Here is a 16,097-nt window from a genome sequence, read left to right on the forward strand (position 1 = left end):
ATAATGTCAAGACACCCCAGTTTATTCAGGCATTTGCTTCCAGCTCCTTGTCAAGATAAGCAGGCTACAGTGAACATCCTTATACATATCCCTTTATGCACCTAAGCATGCATTTCTCTAGGAAAAAAATTGCTGGATTGAGAAAGTAAAATTGCTGGATTGTACAATATGAAAATGTTAGTAGATATTGCCAAATTGCCCCATAGTATTTTAGACAAAGTTGGGTTAAAGGAGGCATTAAAATTTTCCTTTGGGGGGTAGTTGGTGGGGGGAGCTAACAGAAGGGCTGCCCGAGGGGTATGGGAGAAAGATGTGGTTCATTTCCCAACCCTGCTCCCTTTGTCCTGGGAGGGAAAGGGCTAGCCCCAGGGTATATACACACTGATGCAGAAGCCTGGACTTTATTATTATTTTTTTAAGTGAAAGCAAGTTTATTAAGAAAGTAAAGGAATAAAAGAATGGCTACTTCATAGGCAGAGCAGCCCAGAAGTCTGGGCTTTAAAGGAATCTTTCAAGCCCATTGACGGCAAGTCAGAAAGAAGAAACAGGCTGGCCTACTGTATCTTGGGAGTCACTGAACTTCCAGAAACTGCACTGAGAGGCAGGCTTCTGTATTTTTTTCTCTCACACTCTAGCAGTACTGGTCTAGTGTAACATGCTGGGAAGGAGGGTGGCCAAGATCAGGAGTCTGCACCTGATGGCTCATGGGCCAAATCCAGCCCACCACCTGTTTTTGTCAATAAAGTTTTATTGGAACACAGTCATGTCCATTTGTTTAGGTACTGCCTATGTCAGCCTCAAATAATCAAAGAGTTCGAGATCCAGCTAAAAGGGTTTATTGAAGCACAAAGTGTGAAGGCGGCTGTCTGGGGACACACAAATCCCAGGAAATGGTGATCAGTGCTCCCAGTGTGGGGAAAAGTGGGGATCATTTATATGACAAAAACGGAGGTACTGAACAGAATTATAACATTTTCCATACAATGGCTAACATACAGATGTAAGATTTGATTGGCTACTATGGATTACACTCTTAGGGGGTTGCCTACCATTCTGTTGTAAAGAGGTAATAATCACAAGGATCTCTATCTCCAGTCCATTCAGCCTAGGTTTGAGGGAAGAACAGGGAGTCTGGTTAACGTGTAACATCTCAACACAAAGGTCAGGAAGCAGTGGCCATGCGCCAGAGAAGAAAAGCAGCTGTGTTACATGACTGTTTCCAGCACTTTTTCCCTTGGCATAATGCATTTAGAAGGTCCTGAAATGTTATTTTCTTTTTACATCTATGGCTGCTTTTGTGCTGCAGTGGCAGAGTTGAGTAGTTGCAACAGAGACCATGTGGTCCACAAAGCCTAAGATGTGGCCAGGCACAGGGGCTCACACCTGTAATCCCAGCACGTTGGGAGGCCAAGGTGGGCAGATCACTTCACCCCAGAAATTCAAGACCAGCCTGGGCAACATGGTGAAACTCTGTCACTACAAAAAATACAAAAATTAGCTGAGCACAAGGACATGTGCCTGTAGTCCCAGCTGCTCAGGAGGCCAAGATGGGAGGATTGCTTGGGCCCAGGAGGTCAAGGCTGCAGTGAGCCAAGATCATGCCACTGCACCCTAGCCTGACAGAATGAGACCCTGTCTCAAAAAAAAAAAAAAAAAAAGCAAGCCTAAGATGTTTATTTTCTGGACTTTTACAGAAAAAGTGCCAATCCTTGGTCTAGAAGTAATTATAATATAAATAAGCCCATCAAACTTTTATTAGGCCTGATTCTACCTGTGATTGAAAAGTAAACCACTCGGGTGGGTGCAGTGGCTTGCACCTGTAATCCCAGCACTTTGAGAGGTTGAGGTGGGCGATCATGAGGTTAGGAGTTCGAGACCAGCGTGGCCAACATGGGGGAACCCCCATCTCTACTAAAAATACAAAAATTAGTCGGGCATGGTAGCGCATGCCTTGTAATCCCAGCTACTCGGGAGGCTGAGGCAGGAGAATCGCTTGAACCCAGGAGGCGGAGGTTGCAGTGAGCTGAGATCACGCCATTGCACTCCACCCTGGGCGACAGAGCACGACTCTGTTTCAAAAAAAAAGAAAAGTACACTACTCAAAAGACCCTTTAGGCTGCTGCATATAGCTTGATGCTTTGCCTTGAAAATCAGAAACTCAAATACAAACAAATACAAGCAAAGGCCTTGGGAAACAGCCCTGTGGAGAGGAGTGTAGCACCAAATATGGGGTTGGACTGGATGAATGTTAAAGGGCCCTCCCAACCTGAAAGTTGTGAGTTAAAATCATTTTGCTCAATAAGAACCTTGCAACAAATTTATATTGATGATGATAGTTTGAAGATACAGGAATCGGTTACTTCATTTAAATGCTGCAGCCTCATGAAAAATTACATTCATTCAGTAAACATAAATGCCTAATAGAGTACTAAGCATTGGGTAAAGCTACAAAGAATGATGAAAAATACCTAATTCTAAGGTTAATCCTACAGTCCTTAATTTTTTTTTTTTTTTTTTTTTTTTGAGATGGAGCGTCACTCTGTCACCCAGGCTGGAGTGCAGTGGCACGATGTCTGCTCACTGCAAGCTCCGCCTCCCGGGTTCATGCCATTCTCCTGCCTCAGCCTCCCGAGTACCTGGGACTACAGGCACCCACCACCACGCCCGGCTAATTTTTTTTTTTTATTTTTAGTGGAGACGGAGTTTCACCATGTTAGCCAGGATGATCTGGATCTCCTGACCTTGTAATCTGCCCACTTCGGCCTCCCAAAATTCTGGGATTACAGGCATGAGCCACCACACCCAGCCTGCGGTCTTTAATTTTTAATTAACTTTGATATGTTATACTGTGCAAGTTTTCTGGTTAGTTGTTATGCTGATGAATTTAATAATTGTCTTACCTTTTTTGTTTCCAGCCTTGTCCTGCCAAGAAGTTACTGATGATGAGGTCTTAGATGCAAGCTGCTTGTTGGATGTCTTAAGAATGTACAGATGGCAGATCTCATCATTTGAAGAACAGGTGAGTACAACATTTGAACAGGTTTAGCTTGGAGAATCCTTTCCCCTAGTGACTTGGGGCCTGACCTTAAAATTGCCTGGCCCCAGTGTACATTTCTGTGACATTTTAGACAACTTTAGTGTTCTGGGACCAGAGTACCAACTTTGTTCCTGCTCTCATGATCAGAGGGGAGATACAGCTGTTTTTCACTCAGTGGATGGAAGGTTAGCAGGATGGGACATAAACACACAGTTGCCAAAGAGCAAAATCTTTTTAGTTCTTGAGTGACTTGGCACTCCAATAAGTGATAGGGACACCTGGGTTCTTTAGAAAGAGGCAGGTGACTTTACCTTGGAGGCCCAGAGGTTTAGGTAAGATTTTTCTGGACCACACCCTCATTTTTTAAAAAATCAATCTTCGGAGCTTTGCTTAAAGTAGCCCGAAACCTCAAGCAGATGTCATATGCAATTTCAAGGCCGTATTCAGTCACTCCCACCTCCCTTTTCCACAACTACAGCTTTGCTGCCTTTTTTGGAACTTGGCCACCCTCCTCCCCGCCAGACCGCTGTTACCAACAGCAAGTCTGAAGCAGAGGCCAAGAGAATGAAGTTCTAGAGATGAAAAAATCTAGCCCCCAGTGACATACAGGTGCATCCTCCACAGCCACACTTCCAAGATGGCCTTGTCCAGCTTCGTGTAGGCGTTGTCTGCCGCCACTATCCAGAGAAATGGGAGGCGGCATCTTGGACCTCCCAAAACTGTGGGGCCGACGTGAGGGGCATCGAGAGACTTTTGGAAAGGGAGCTGGGGAGGCTTTCTAGCACCCCTTATTTTTAAAGGTGTTCTCTTGTTTTTGCTTTATTCTGAAGCCACAGGTCACTTTTTAGACATGGTGGTGGTATCTATACTTTCTTAAAATGTATCTCAGTTAATCCAATTGTATGTTGCAACGTTTTTCTATTTAGAAAATACTTTTAAAATCCTCCTCTGGTAACTGGAATTATTTATCTACATTTTACATTTCCCTAAACTGAGAGAATAACTTGGAGATTTAGTCACCAAGGACATCAGATAACTTTTTTAAGGTCCGACTTCTCCATCAAGGACTCACTTAGGTCCCAGTCACTCCTTGGAAGTATTTCCAACATCTTCAGCCCACAGCAGTCACTGAGCCCACATCGTGCTGTAGTCTGCAGGAAAAAGAGGTGAACACGTCTGTCCGGTGGCCTTTTTCTCTTTGAAGGTACCCAGAGCGTCTAGCATGGGCCTTGCCCACATCTTTATTATCAGCGATCCAGTCAATCAGGAGCAGATTTTCCCTGATTGTCAACCCATTTTCTTTGTCTAAAGCTAGAGCTTCAGAGGATGCATTGGGCCAAAGGCTTGCTTTGTGCAAATTACCTGATTTTATTATCACAATAACCATGTAAGGAATTACTGTTGTCCCCATTTTACAGATGGAAAAACACTGAGGCTCAGAGAAGTGGAATGATTTGCCCAGAATCATGCAGCTATTTAAGGGGCAGAGCCAGGATTTAAGACAGTCTAGTGCTACAGTGCACATTCAAGCTCCCCCTCCTCTGCAGTGCTGTCCCTTTCCTTAAGGCCTAGTTGTTACATGGCTGACCCACGGTTTAGGTTATAGATCCACCTCCATCCTTTCTCGGATCTGCTTCAAGCCTGGGCCCAGATGCCTGGTGTGTGAGGGCTCCTTGAGCCTCCCAGGAAGTGCTGATTCTCCTCCAGGTTCCCTGCTTCCTGTTCATCTGTACAGGGCTGCACCTCTGGTGTGCCGTTGGCTAATAGCTAGGCTGCCACACCTCCCCTGGATTGTGAGTCCCTCAGGGGCTAGAGCCTTGCCTTATTTATCTTTGAATCTCTACTTCCACTCTACAGCTGCAGTTTTATAGCCCAGGAGGGAATTCATTTATATAGGCAACAAGTATTTATTGAATGCCTGCCTGGGGTGGGGACTGTCGAGGGCAATGGAGTCGTAGCAGCAGACATGACTTGCAGGAGTTTCCTGCTCTCTTAGAGCTGGTATTCCAGTGGGGGATGAGGATAGCAGGCAGGGGTCGGTGCAGACAGTAAGCAGGGGATTTCAGGATATGCTAACAAGAAACTAGCTGGTGTAACATGGCATGGATAGGGAGGGCAGAGGAGGAGGAGCCAAGCTACAGGGGGAGACTGCTCCAGGTAGGGAGGCTCCTCTCAGGAGGTGAGGTTTCAGCGGAGACCGGAAGTATAAAAGAGAGTGAAGTGTGTGGACACCTGGGTACAGAGCATTCCAGACAGATGAAGAAGCTAGGGTATAAGTCTGGAGATGGTTATAAAGCTGCCACCTGTGGAGAATGGCAGGGAGGCCAGGGCGGGGAGGGCGGTGGAGGAGAGGGGCTGGCGAAGTTGGCAGGGAGCAGATTGTGCAGGGACTAGGAGGCTGCGGGCGGCATCAGCTTCTATTGTGTTTGCAGCGGGGAGCCACTAGAGGACTTTGAACTGGGGACTGGTTTGATCTGACTTGTTAGAAAAGGAAGGCTGGAGGGGCAAGAATGCAAGCCGAGAGGAAAGGTGGGAGGCCGCTGCAGTTATCTGGCCGAGATGGTGTGGCTCAGACTGGGGTCGAAGCAGGGTAGCTGAGAGTCCTCAGGAATTTAGGGCGTATTTTGGAGGAGGGTCCTTTTTTCAGGACTGCTGCTGAATTGGCTGAGGGTGGGTTAGAGTTCAGAGGGGTGGAGGCAGCTTTGGATAATTGGTTGGGGAGTATGCCCTGTGGAGGAGCTCTTTTGGCAGAGACCTGAAGGATAGGAGGTAGCCGTGCGAAGGTCTGAGCACAGCCCGAAATGGGAATAAGCTGGATATGTTCAAGGAACAGCAAAGAGGCCAGGGGCCGGGACATTGTGAATGTTGGGGGCTTTGTAGGCCAGATAAGAATGGTAGGTTTTACTCTAGTAGTGGAAGCCATTGGAAAGCTAAAAGCAGAAGAGTAAAGCTATCTGCCTTTTAAAGTATTGCTCTGGTGGCAGTGTGAGGGGACACCAAAGGAGAAGCAGAGGGCCTGTGTTGTGACCCCGTTACTCCCGGAAGAGTGAGGGGTGGCTTGGGTTTTTGGGGAGAGAGCCATTTGAGTTGATCCTTCAAGAGTAGTCCCATGCCATTGGATCCAGCAACCCCGCTGCTGGGTACAAACCAAAAGAATTCAAAGCAGGGACTCAGTAGGGTATTTGTATACTCAGGTTAATAGCAGCATGTTCGCAATAGCCAAGGGGTAGAAGCAACCCAAGTGTTCATCGGCTGATAAATAGGTAAACAAAACTTTCATACAATGGAATATTATTCAGCCTTAAAAAGGAAGGAAATTCTGCAGTATGCTACAACATAGGTGAAGCTTGAAGACGTTATGCCGAGGAAAATAAGCCAGTCACAAAGACCAACACTGTATGATTCCACTTGTGTGAGGTTCCCAGAGTAATCAGATTCCTAGAGAGATAAAGAATGGTGGGTGCCAGGGGTTGGGGAAGGGGAAATGGGAAATCAGTGTTTAACAGATATGGAGTTTCAGCTGGGGAAGATGAGAAAGTTCTGAAGATGGATGGCAGTGATGATTGTACAACAACATGAATGTACTTAATGCCACAGAATCATTCATGTTAAGATGATAAATGTTATGATATGTGTATTTTACCACAATTAACAAAAAACATAATCTTTTGAAATCGGAGTGGAGGTCAAGGCTGTCTCAGTGAAACAGAATGGTCTCATAGACTGCTGGCGTGAAGGCAGCCACCTGGCTTTCTCTCCTGCTCTCTGCTCCTGGACCTCTTGCTTGAGGGTCTTCACTCGTGACAGTGTCCAGGACATAACTGTTTTCTTTAATGAGCTGGGCCTTGAGAAGGTAGAAAGCAAATTCTACCCACATTCACTGTAGGGTGTCTGCCCGAGGTGGGTAGTTCTGATCTTGCTCTTGCCTCTTCCAACCTCTCTAAAGAATGCTTTGCCCTATGACAGGATGCTCACGAATTATTCCATGTCATTACCTCGTCATTGGAAGATGAGCGAGACCGCCAGCCTCGGGTCACACATTTGTTTGATGTGCATTCCCTGGAGGTAAACCATTAATATTTCCAACACGTTCTGTGCAGCTTGTGCATATTTAATAAGTATAGGGGAGGCAAGTGTAATCTTTGTACAACTTTAAAAGTAAGATTCAGTAAAAATCAGTGGTGGGAATGAGGCCAGGGGAGGGTCTTAAAACTACATGCTTTGCAGTTGGTGATCTGATTAGGGATGTCAAGGCTCTTTCAAATGATTCATTGCTGCAATTTGTGTTGGCTTTGAGAATAAAGAATGTGTTATTTTTTCCTGTTTAATACAGGGGAACAGGGGCCATAGGAATGCTAAGTGAGCCCTCATTTCCCTGTAACAGTATAAATATCGGAGGAGTTGACAAAAGTTAACCAGTAAGGATGAAAATATTCTGGAGAGAAGAAATATGTTTCTATTGCATTTGATGAAAGAATATTCATAGTATCCAGCCAGATAGGCTAATTGAGGCTACCTTTAGAAACCTGAGCTTTGTTAAAAGTTGATTTTTAGTGGTGTAATCAACGTAGAAACTTGTAAGGTTTAGGGGTGGGGTGAGGGTGGTGAAAGGGATTATAGTAAGGTTTTCAGTCTGTTTTTTTTTTTTCTCCCCTACAGCAGCAGTCAGAAATAACTCCCAAACAAATTACCTGCCGCACAAGAGGTAGCTGTTTTCCATTGAAATATAACACATAAGATGTGGACTTTTAAGATATGATAATAATTTGCTTGTTTTAAAAAGATTTTTTTCTGGTGACATACAGGCCAGCTTGAAGTGTGATGTGCTTGCAAAGGAACTTGTATTTTGGAAATAGCTTTAAATAGATTCTCTTGGTGTTCCCTTGCACCCCAGCCCAGCTGACTTTTCTTGAAACTGGCTTATTTGTACTTCAAACAAGGGCTTTCTTTTTACCTTTTTGAATTGATCCTGGGAAGAACATAATGAGCTGAATCTGTCGTGTCCTCAGCATTTCCAGTGCTGCCAAATTCTATTGCATATTACCACAGTCATCCTTAGGAGGAAATTGTTGTTTTCTTAAGACTTAAAAAATAAGATTAGCATATTAATTCCTCTGTGTAGTAATAGGAACAAATATTTTTTGAGCCCATGCTGTTTGCCAGGCATTGCATTATCTCATTTAAGCCTCATAACAACTCTACAAAGTTGATGATACTGGAGTTAATGGGATAATAACTATCCCAATTTTCCGCACACTGAGGCTTGTAGAGATTAAAGGCATTCCCAGGTCAGGTAGTGAATAAGAAGCACAGCCAGAGCTGATCCCTGGGCTGCACAACTCCAGAGCCCAGGTTTCTCACTTATGTTCTTTCCATTAAACCCCATTCTAGCCAAAGAAAGGCCTAGTTATTCAGAACTTGCTTATTCTGTTTATTTCAGAAGATTTTATCTCGCTTTATGGAATGTTCACTTGTGGTATCCTTCTTTTGACATCTCAAACATTTTAAGCATATGTTTGTAAAAAGACATTATTCAACACAAATTCCTTTTTAAAATGTGGCTCTACCCATTATACAGAAACCGTATATAAAGATAGATCTGTGTAAATTCTCCTATGAAGGAATGGGATGTCTTTTGGATGGAAGTCAATGAGGAAAGCTATTTCAATGTACTTTTCAAGAATATTTTTTCTTAAGAGGTAGTTTCTACCACATGCTAGAAAGGAAGATGAATGTTGAGCTTGGTGCCAAAGGGCTAAAAGTGACATATCAAAAAACTTTTTGCATTCCAGGGTCACCTCACCCTACATCCAATCACTGGAAGTCTCAACATCCTTTTCATGGAAGACTCACTAGTAATATGGTCTGCAAACACTGTGAACACCAGGTAAATACAATACCAACACTTGATATTTCCGGGAGAGGTTTTCCAAAAGTTAGGATTCTTGAAAGGACCTAGAGAGTGGGCTGACATCGGTCACTGGTGTTAGAGACTACCTGGCCTCTGCACACTAGTGGACTGACTACCCCACTTTGGTCAGTGTCAGCATGTCATTTGAGGTCAGATGGCATCTTCTGCACCAAGGACAACAGACCCACTGTGGATTGGCAGGCTCTTGAGTCCAGTGGTTGAGTCTATGCTCATGGTGGACACAGTAGATTCTAGGGCTGGTTTTTTCCCCTTTACTTTTGAGGTTTTAAAATAATATTTTATTATGGAAAATTTCCAACATCATACAAAAAGAGAGAATTGTACAACTGTCACCCCAATCCATTTTATTTTATTTTATTTTTTCACAGCCATTACTGACTCCGGGATCAGTCAACTTTATAACATTTTCATTGCCCCCTAAAGAAACTCCATACTCATTAGCAACCTCTCCCCATCCTTTCCATCACCCTACCCTTGTCAACCATGAATCTACCTCTGTCTCTATGGATTTGCATATTCTGGATGCTTCATATAAATGGAATCATGTAATGTGTGGCTTTTTGTGTCTGGCTTCTTTCATTTAGCATAATATTTCCACGTTTCTTCCATATTTTGGCATGAATCAGTACTTTGTTCCTTTTATTACCAAATAATATTGCATTACATGGATCTACAACATTTTTATCCATTCATCAGTTGATGGGCATTTGGATTGTTAACACTTTTTGGCCATTATGAATAATGTTGCTGTGAACATTTACATACAAGTTTTTGTGTGGACATATATTTTCACTTCAGTTGGGTATATACCTCAGAGTAGAATTGCTAGCTTATATGGTAACTCTTTTGTTTAACCTTTTAAGGAACTGCCAGACTGTTTTCCAAAGTGGCTATGCCATTTTTCATTCCCACCGGCAGTGTATGAGGGGTTCCAATTTCTTCACAGCCTCACCCACATTTTGATGTCAGCCCACTCTCTAGGTCCTGTCTAACATTGAGGTTCTAGCCATCCTACTGAGTGCAAAGTAGTATCTCACTGTGGCTTTTTCCCCCAGTTTTATTGAGATCTAATCGACAATAAAAATTGTATATATTTAGGGTGTACAAAGTGAAGATTTGATGTATGACTGTGTGTGTGTGTGTGCACGTGCACCTGTGCTCATATGTGGTGAGAACACTCTCTTAGTATATTTCAAGAATACAATACAGTATTATTAACTGTAGTCACCATGCTGTACGTTAACTCTCCAGAACTTATTCGTCTTATAACTGAAGGTTTGCATCTTTGAGCAACATCTCCCCACCTCCCCAGCCCCTGGCAGCCAGCATGTACTCTGCTTCTGTGAGTTTGACTTTTCTAGATTCCATATAGGTATGAGATCAGGTGGTGTTTATCTTTCTATATCTGGCTTATTTCACATAGCAGATGTCCTCCAGGTTCATCCATGTTGTCACAGATGGTAGGACTTCCTTTTTGATGGCTGAATAATATTCCATTATATGTGTATACCACATTTTCTCATTCATCTGTCTGTGGACATTCCATATCTTGGCTATTGTGAATAATGCTACAATGAAGATTGTTTTGCAGATGTATCTTTGAGATACTGATTTCATTTCCTCTGGATATATACCTAGGAGTGGCATTGCTAGTTCATATAATAGTTCTATTCTTAACTTTTTGAGGAACCTTCATACTGTTTTCCATTTACATTCCCACCAACAGTATGCAAGAGTTGCCTTCTCTCCACACCCTCGGCAACACTTGTTACGTGCTGTCTTTTTTTTTCAGACAGAGTCTCGCTCTGCTGCACCCAAACTAGAGTGCAGTGGTGCCATCTTGGCTCACTGCAACCTCCGTCTCTTGGGTTCAAGCAATTCTCCCACCACAGTCTCCCAAGTAGCTGGGATTACAGGCACCCGCCAACACACCCAGCTAATCTTTTGTATTTTTAGTAGAGATCGGGTTTCACCATATTGGCCAGGCTGGTCTTGAACTCCCAACCTCAAGTGATCCGCCTGTCTCGGCCTCCCAAAGTGCTGGGATTAAGGCATGAGCCACTGTGCCTGACCACATGCTGTCATTTTGGTAATAGCCATCCTAACAGGTGTGCGGTGATAGCTCTTTATGGTTTTATTTGCATTTCCCTGATGATTAGTGATATTGAGTGCCTTTTCATATACCCACTGGCCATTTGTATGTCTTTTTTTTGCAAAGTGTCTGTTCAGCTCCTTTGCCCATTTTTTAATCATGTTACTTTTTCTTTTTTTTTTTTTTTTTGCTGTTGGTCCATATGAGTTCCTTATAAACACTCTTTTAGTGTATTTCAAGTATTCAATTTTGGATATTAACCTCTTATCAGATATATGGTTTGCTAATATTTTCTTTCATTCCATATGTTGCCTTTTCATTTTGTTGATTGTTTCATTTGCTGTGTCATTGCGGTTCTGAGTGACATTACCTTGAAGACTAATATGTTGAATGGTCTTTTTAAAAATAAGGTTCATATATTAAAAGATATGTAAGATATGTTAAGGAACTGTAATCTATAAGTTGACTATTCATCTCTTTTTTCCGTGCATTATTTTGATACTATTGTAAGTGGAATTTAAAAAAATTTATTTTCAAATTGTTTGCCACTAGTATATAGACATACAGCTGTTTATATATTGACCTTATATCTTGAGATTTTTGTAAACATTCATTTATTACTTCTAGAAGCTGTAGAAGTTTTGTTATGTATTCCTTAGCATTCTCTGTGTATGCAAACAGTCATGTTGCTTATGAATAGAAATAGTTTTAGTTCTTCCTTTCCAACCCAATCTTTATTCCTTTTTTTTTTTTTTCTTTGCCTTATTATCCTGGCTAAGACTTATGGTACAAAGTTAAATAAGAGTGATGATGGCAGACATCTTTGCTTTGTTTCAAATCTTCTGAAGCAAGTATTTGGTGTTTTATAATTAAGTATGATATTAGCTTTAGGTTTTAGTATACCTCTTTATCATACTGACAAACTTCCCTTCTGTTCCTAGTTTGCTGAGAATTTTTGTAATGAATAGTGATTGGATTTTGTCAGTTTTTTCTGCATCCATTGAAATGATCATATTTTAGTCTTATTCTGTTGACTTGGTGAATTACAGTGATTGATTTTTTCTTTTTTTTTTTTTTTTTGAGACGGAGTCTTGCTCTGTCGCCCAGGCTGGAGTGCAGTGGCGTGATCTCGGCTCACTGCAAGCTCCACCTCCCAGGTTCACGCCATTCTCCTGCCTCAGCCTCCCGAGTAGCTGGGACTACAGGCGCCCGCCACCACGCCCGGCTAATTTTTTGTATTTTTTAGTAGAGACAGGGTTTCACCGTGTTAGCCAGGATGGTCTCGATCTCCTGACCTCGTGATCCGCCTGCCTCAGCCTCTCAAAGTGCTGGGATTACAGGCATGAGCCACTGTGCCCAGCCAGTGATTGATTTTTCTAATGTTAAACCAACCTTTCTGGGATAAACCCCACTTGATCATGATGCTTTATTGTTTTTATATATTATTGAATTTGATTTGCTAATATTTCCTAAAGGATATTAGTATCTGTGTTTATGAGGAATATTGTTCTTACACTTTTCTTCTCTTGTGATGTCTTTGTCAGGCTTTGTTATAAGGATTATACTAGCCTCATAAAATAGGCTGGAAAATGTTCCTTCCTCTGTTTACTGAAAGATTTTGTTTAATATTGGTATTATTTCTTGCTTGTTTGCTAAAATTTGTCTTTTCTTTAGCTCTATTTCTGCTAATTTTTTTTAAACTTTGTTATTGGATACAAGCATATGTATTATGATGAGTTAACTCATCTTGTCATGATAAATTGTCCCTCTTCATCTCTGCTAAGACTCCTTGACTTGAAGTCTATTTGAATGATTCATTTTTAATCTAGCTAATGTTTATTTGGTCATTTCTTTCTGTCATTTTCGGCCTTTGTATTTAAAGTGTGACTTTGTGGACAGCATATAATGGGTCTTGCTTTTTTAACTAGCTTGACAATCTTTTAGTTGGAATGCTTAGTCCATTTACATTTAATGTAAGTATTGATGTGATTAGATTTAGGTCTGCCATTTTACCATTTGTTTTCTGTTTGTCTTACATATTTTCTTGTTCCTCTGTTCCCCCTTCACTGGCTTCTTTCAGGTTAATGGAATACTTTTTAGTATTCCATTTTAATACCTTTGTTGGCCTTTTAGCTTTACTCTTGTGTGTTTGTGTTGGGGGGGGAGGGTGTGTGTGAGAGATTACGTTATGCAGTTTTACCTTATCACATTCTATTTAGAGTTAATATTATACTTCATGTAAAATCCTGGAATATTACAAAAGTATAGTTCTGTTACCCCAGCCTTTGTGCTATTATACATACATTATAAACCTCACAATACTGTGTCATAGTTTTTGCTTTAAAGAGTTATATGTGTTTCATTTCATTTCCTTTGGATATATACCTGGAAGTGGTATTGCTAGTTCATACAGTAGTTCTGTTCTTAACTTTTTGAGGAACCTCCTCCGTACAATTTTCCATAATAGCTGCACCAGCCAGGTGCTGTGGCTCACGTCTGTAATCCCAGCACTTTGGAAGGCTGAGACGAGTGGATCACGAGGTCAGGAGTTCAAGACCAGCATGGCCAACATGGTGAAACCCCGTCTCTACTAAAATTACAAAAATTAGCTGGGCCTGGTGGCGGGCGTCTGTAATCCCAGCTACTCGGGAGGCTGAGGCAGGAGAATGGCTTGAACCCAGGAGGCCGATGTTGTGGTGAGCCGAGATCACGCCACTGCACTTCAGTCTGGGCGACAGAGTGAGACTGAGTCTCAAAAAAAAAAAAAAATAGCTGCACCAGTTTACATTCCCACCAGTAGTATGCAAGAGTTGCCTTCTCTTAAGAGGCTGAGGCAGGAGAATTGCTTGAACCTGGGAGGCAGAGGTTGCAGTGAGCCGAGATCACACCACTGCATGCCAGCCTGGGCGACAAAGCGAGACTCCATCTCAAAAAAAAAAAAAAGAGTTGCCTTCTCTTCTACTAATTAATTAATAGAAAAATATGTTTACCATTTTTCTTGTTCTCAGTCTTTCTTGTAGATCAAAATCCATTTGATGTTTTTTCCCTTTTGGCCTAAAAACTTCCTTTTAACATTTGTTATAGGTGTACTGCTGACAGATACACTTAGATTTCATGTATATGAAAATGTTTTTGTCTTGCCTTCATTTTTGAAGAATACTACTGCTGGATATAGAACTTTGGGTTGACAGTGTTGCCGTGGTTTTGCTTTGGTTTATTTTAAATTCATCACTTTAAGGACATTGTTCTATTGTCTTCTGGCCTCCATTTTCTCAGTTAGTGTCATTTATATCATTCTTGTCTATGTAAATTGTCATTTGTTTTTCTTCTGCTTACACTGCTTACAAAATTTTCTCTTTATTTTTGTTCATGCTGCGCATAGATGTGGTTTTCTTAGTATTTATCTTATTTATCTTGTTTGGGGTTTGCTGAGTTTCTTAAATTTGTACTTTTTTTAACCAAGTTTGAAAATTCTTGGCTGTTATTTTTTCAACAAAGATTTTATGCCCATTTTTCACTTGTTATTTTACTTAATGTTGGCCCACAGGTCACTGAGGTCTTGTTCAATTTTCTTCAATCTTTCTTCTGTGTGTTCTTTAAATTAGATCATTTCTATTGACTTATCTTCACGTTCACTGATTCTTTTTTCTCTTTTTTTCTTTTCTTTTTCTTTTTTTTTTTCTTTTTTTTTTTTTTTTTTTTTTTTTTTTGTGACAGGGGTCTTAGCTCTGTCACCGAGGCTGGATTGCAATAATGTGATCATAGCTCACTGCAGCCTCAACCTCCCAGGCTCAAGTTATCCTCCCACCTTAGCCCCCTGAGCAGCTGGGACTACAGGTGTGTGCCACCACACCCAGCTAATTTTTTTTTATTTTTTGTAGAGACAGGGTCTCACTGTGTTGCTCAGGTTGGTCCTGAACTCCTGGGCTCAAGTGATCCTTACACTTCAGCCTCCCAAAGTGTTGGGATTACAGGTGTGAGCCACCATACCTGGCCTGATTCTTTTTTCATCTCCAATCTCTGTTTGCCTATGCAACAAATTTTTCATCGTAATCACTGTTGTTTTTAGTTATAGAATTTCCATTGCCTTCTTTTTAATAGTTTCCATTGTTCTGAGATTCTCAATTTGTTCATTCACTGTCACTGTATATTTTCCTTTACATCCTTGAGCATATTTATGATACATCTGTGAGGTCCTCGTGTGCTGACTTCTTTGTATTTTATGTTTGGTAATTTTTTATTGTATGCTTAACATCATAATAGAGACATAGAGAGTAGGGATTCTGTTACATATCTATGAAGAAAAATTAATTTTCTTCTGGCCTGCAGTTAACCTGGCTGGGCTCAAACTCAACTCTGTCTCCCCTACATTGGGCAGCAAAATCTCTGCTCAGTTTTTTTAGCTTCCAGCTGCTACTTTTTGCCAGGCTCCCTGGAGTTTCCCCCTGTGCACGTGTGGTTCAGGGATCAGCCCTGGAATTGAACAGAGTTTAGGTATAAACTTTGGGGCTCATCCCCTCTGTGTCTCCTTTCTTCCTGGCATTTCCCCTGGTCTCTCCACCAGCCCTGATTCTTGAACTCTGTCGTCTGACCACTCAATCCTGTAGGATGCTGCTTTTCGCCACCCAGCACCACATCAACCAGGAAAAAAAGCCACAAACACACAAATCTCGCCCACAGAGTTCTGTTTTTCCAACAGTTGACTTCTTTTCCATTTCTGCCTGCTTTTGGTAGCTCTCCGTTCATTCAAACGGTTTTGTTTTGTTGCAAACTTTACAATTGTTATCTCAAGGAGGGCCAATCTACCCAAGCACCTCTGCCATCACCAAAAGCAGGAACTCTCTCACCCTACTTCATCGTCTCCTTTTTTGCAATGAATAATCTAACATGAACATCTTTCCACATGATCATATGTTCTTCTACATTTTGTTTAACATAGTGTTTCATTCTGTGGACATGCCATATAATTTATTAAACCATTTGCTAGAACTTCCAACTACAGTCATGTGCTATATAATGATGTTTTGGTCAATGAC

The 16,097-nt window shown here is 41.7% G+C and overlaps 1 protein-coding gene across 14 annotated transcripts in view; it reads left to right on the forward strand.

The window, feature by feature from the left end:
* The window catches only part of USP30 (ubiquitin specific peptidase 30), a 64,935-nt gene that overhangs the window by 41,520 nt on the left and 7,318 nt on the right, over window positions 1-16,097 (forward strand). For 11 of the 14 annotated variants that reach the window (NM_001301175.2, XM_047429732.1, XM_017020052.3 and 8 more), the window contains 4 exons: window positions 2,916-3,019; window positions 7,004-7,102; window positions 7,697-7,742; window positions 8,830-8,924. In NM_001301175.2, the coding sequence (NP_001288104.1) occupies window positions 2,916-3,019; window positions 7,004-7,102; window positions 7,697-7,742; window positions 8,830-8,924 (344 nt within the window). The remainder of the gene's footprint in view (window positions 1-2,915; window positions 3,020-7,003; window positions 7,103-7,696; window positions 7,743-8,829; window positions 8,925-16,097) is intronic. The other 3 variants (XM_017020049.2, XM_005253962.4, XM_047429734.1) reach the window with 1 other exon arrangement.

The sequence above is a fragment of the Homo sapiens genome, chromosome 12 (assembly GCF_000001405.40).
Source record: "Homo sapiens chromosome 12, GRCh38.p14 Primary Assembly".
In the NCBI taxonomy this organism is placed as follows: Eukaryota; Metazoa; Chordata; class Mammalia; order Primates; family Hominidae; genus Homo; species Homo sapiens.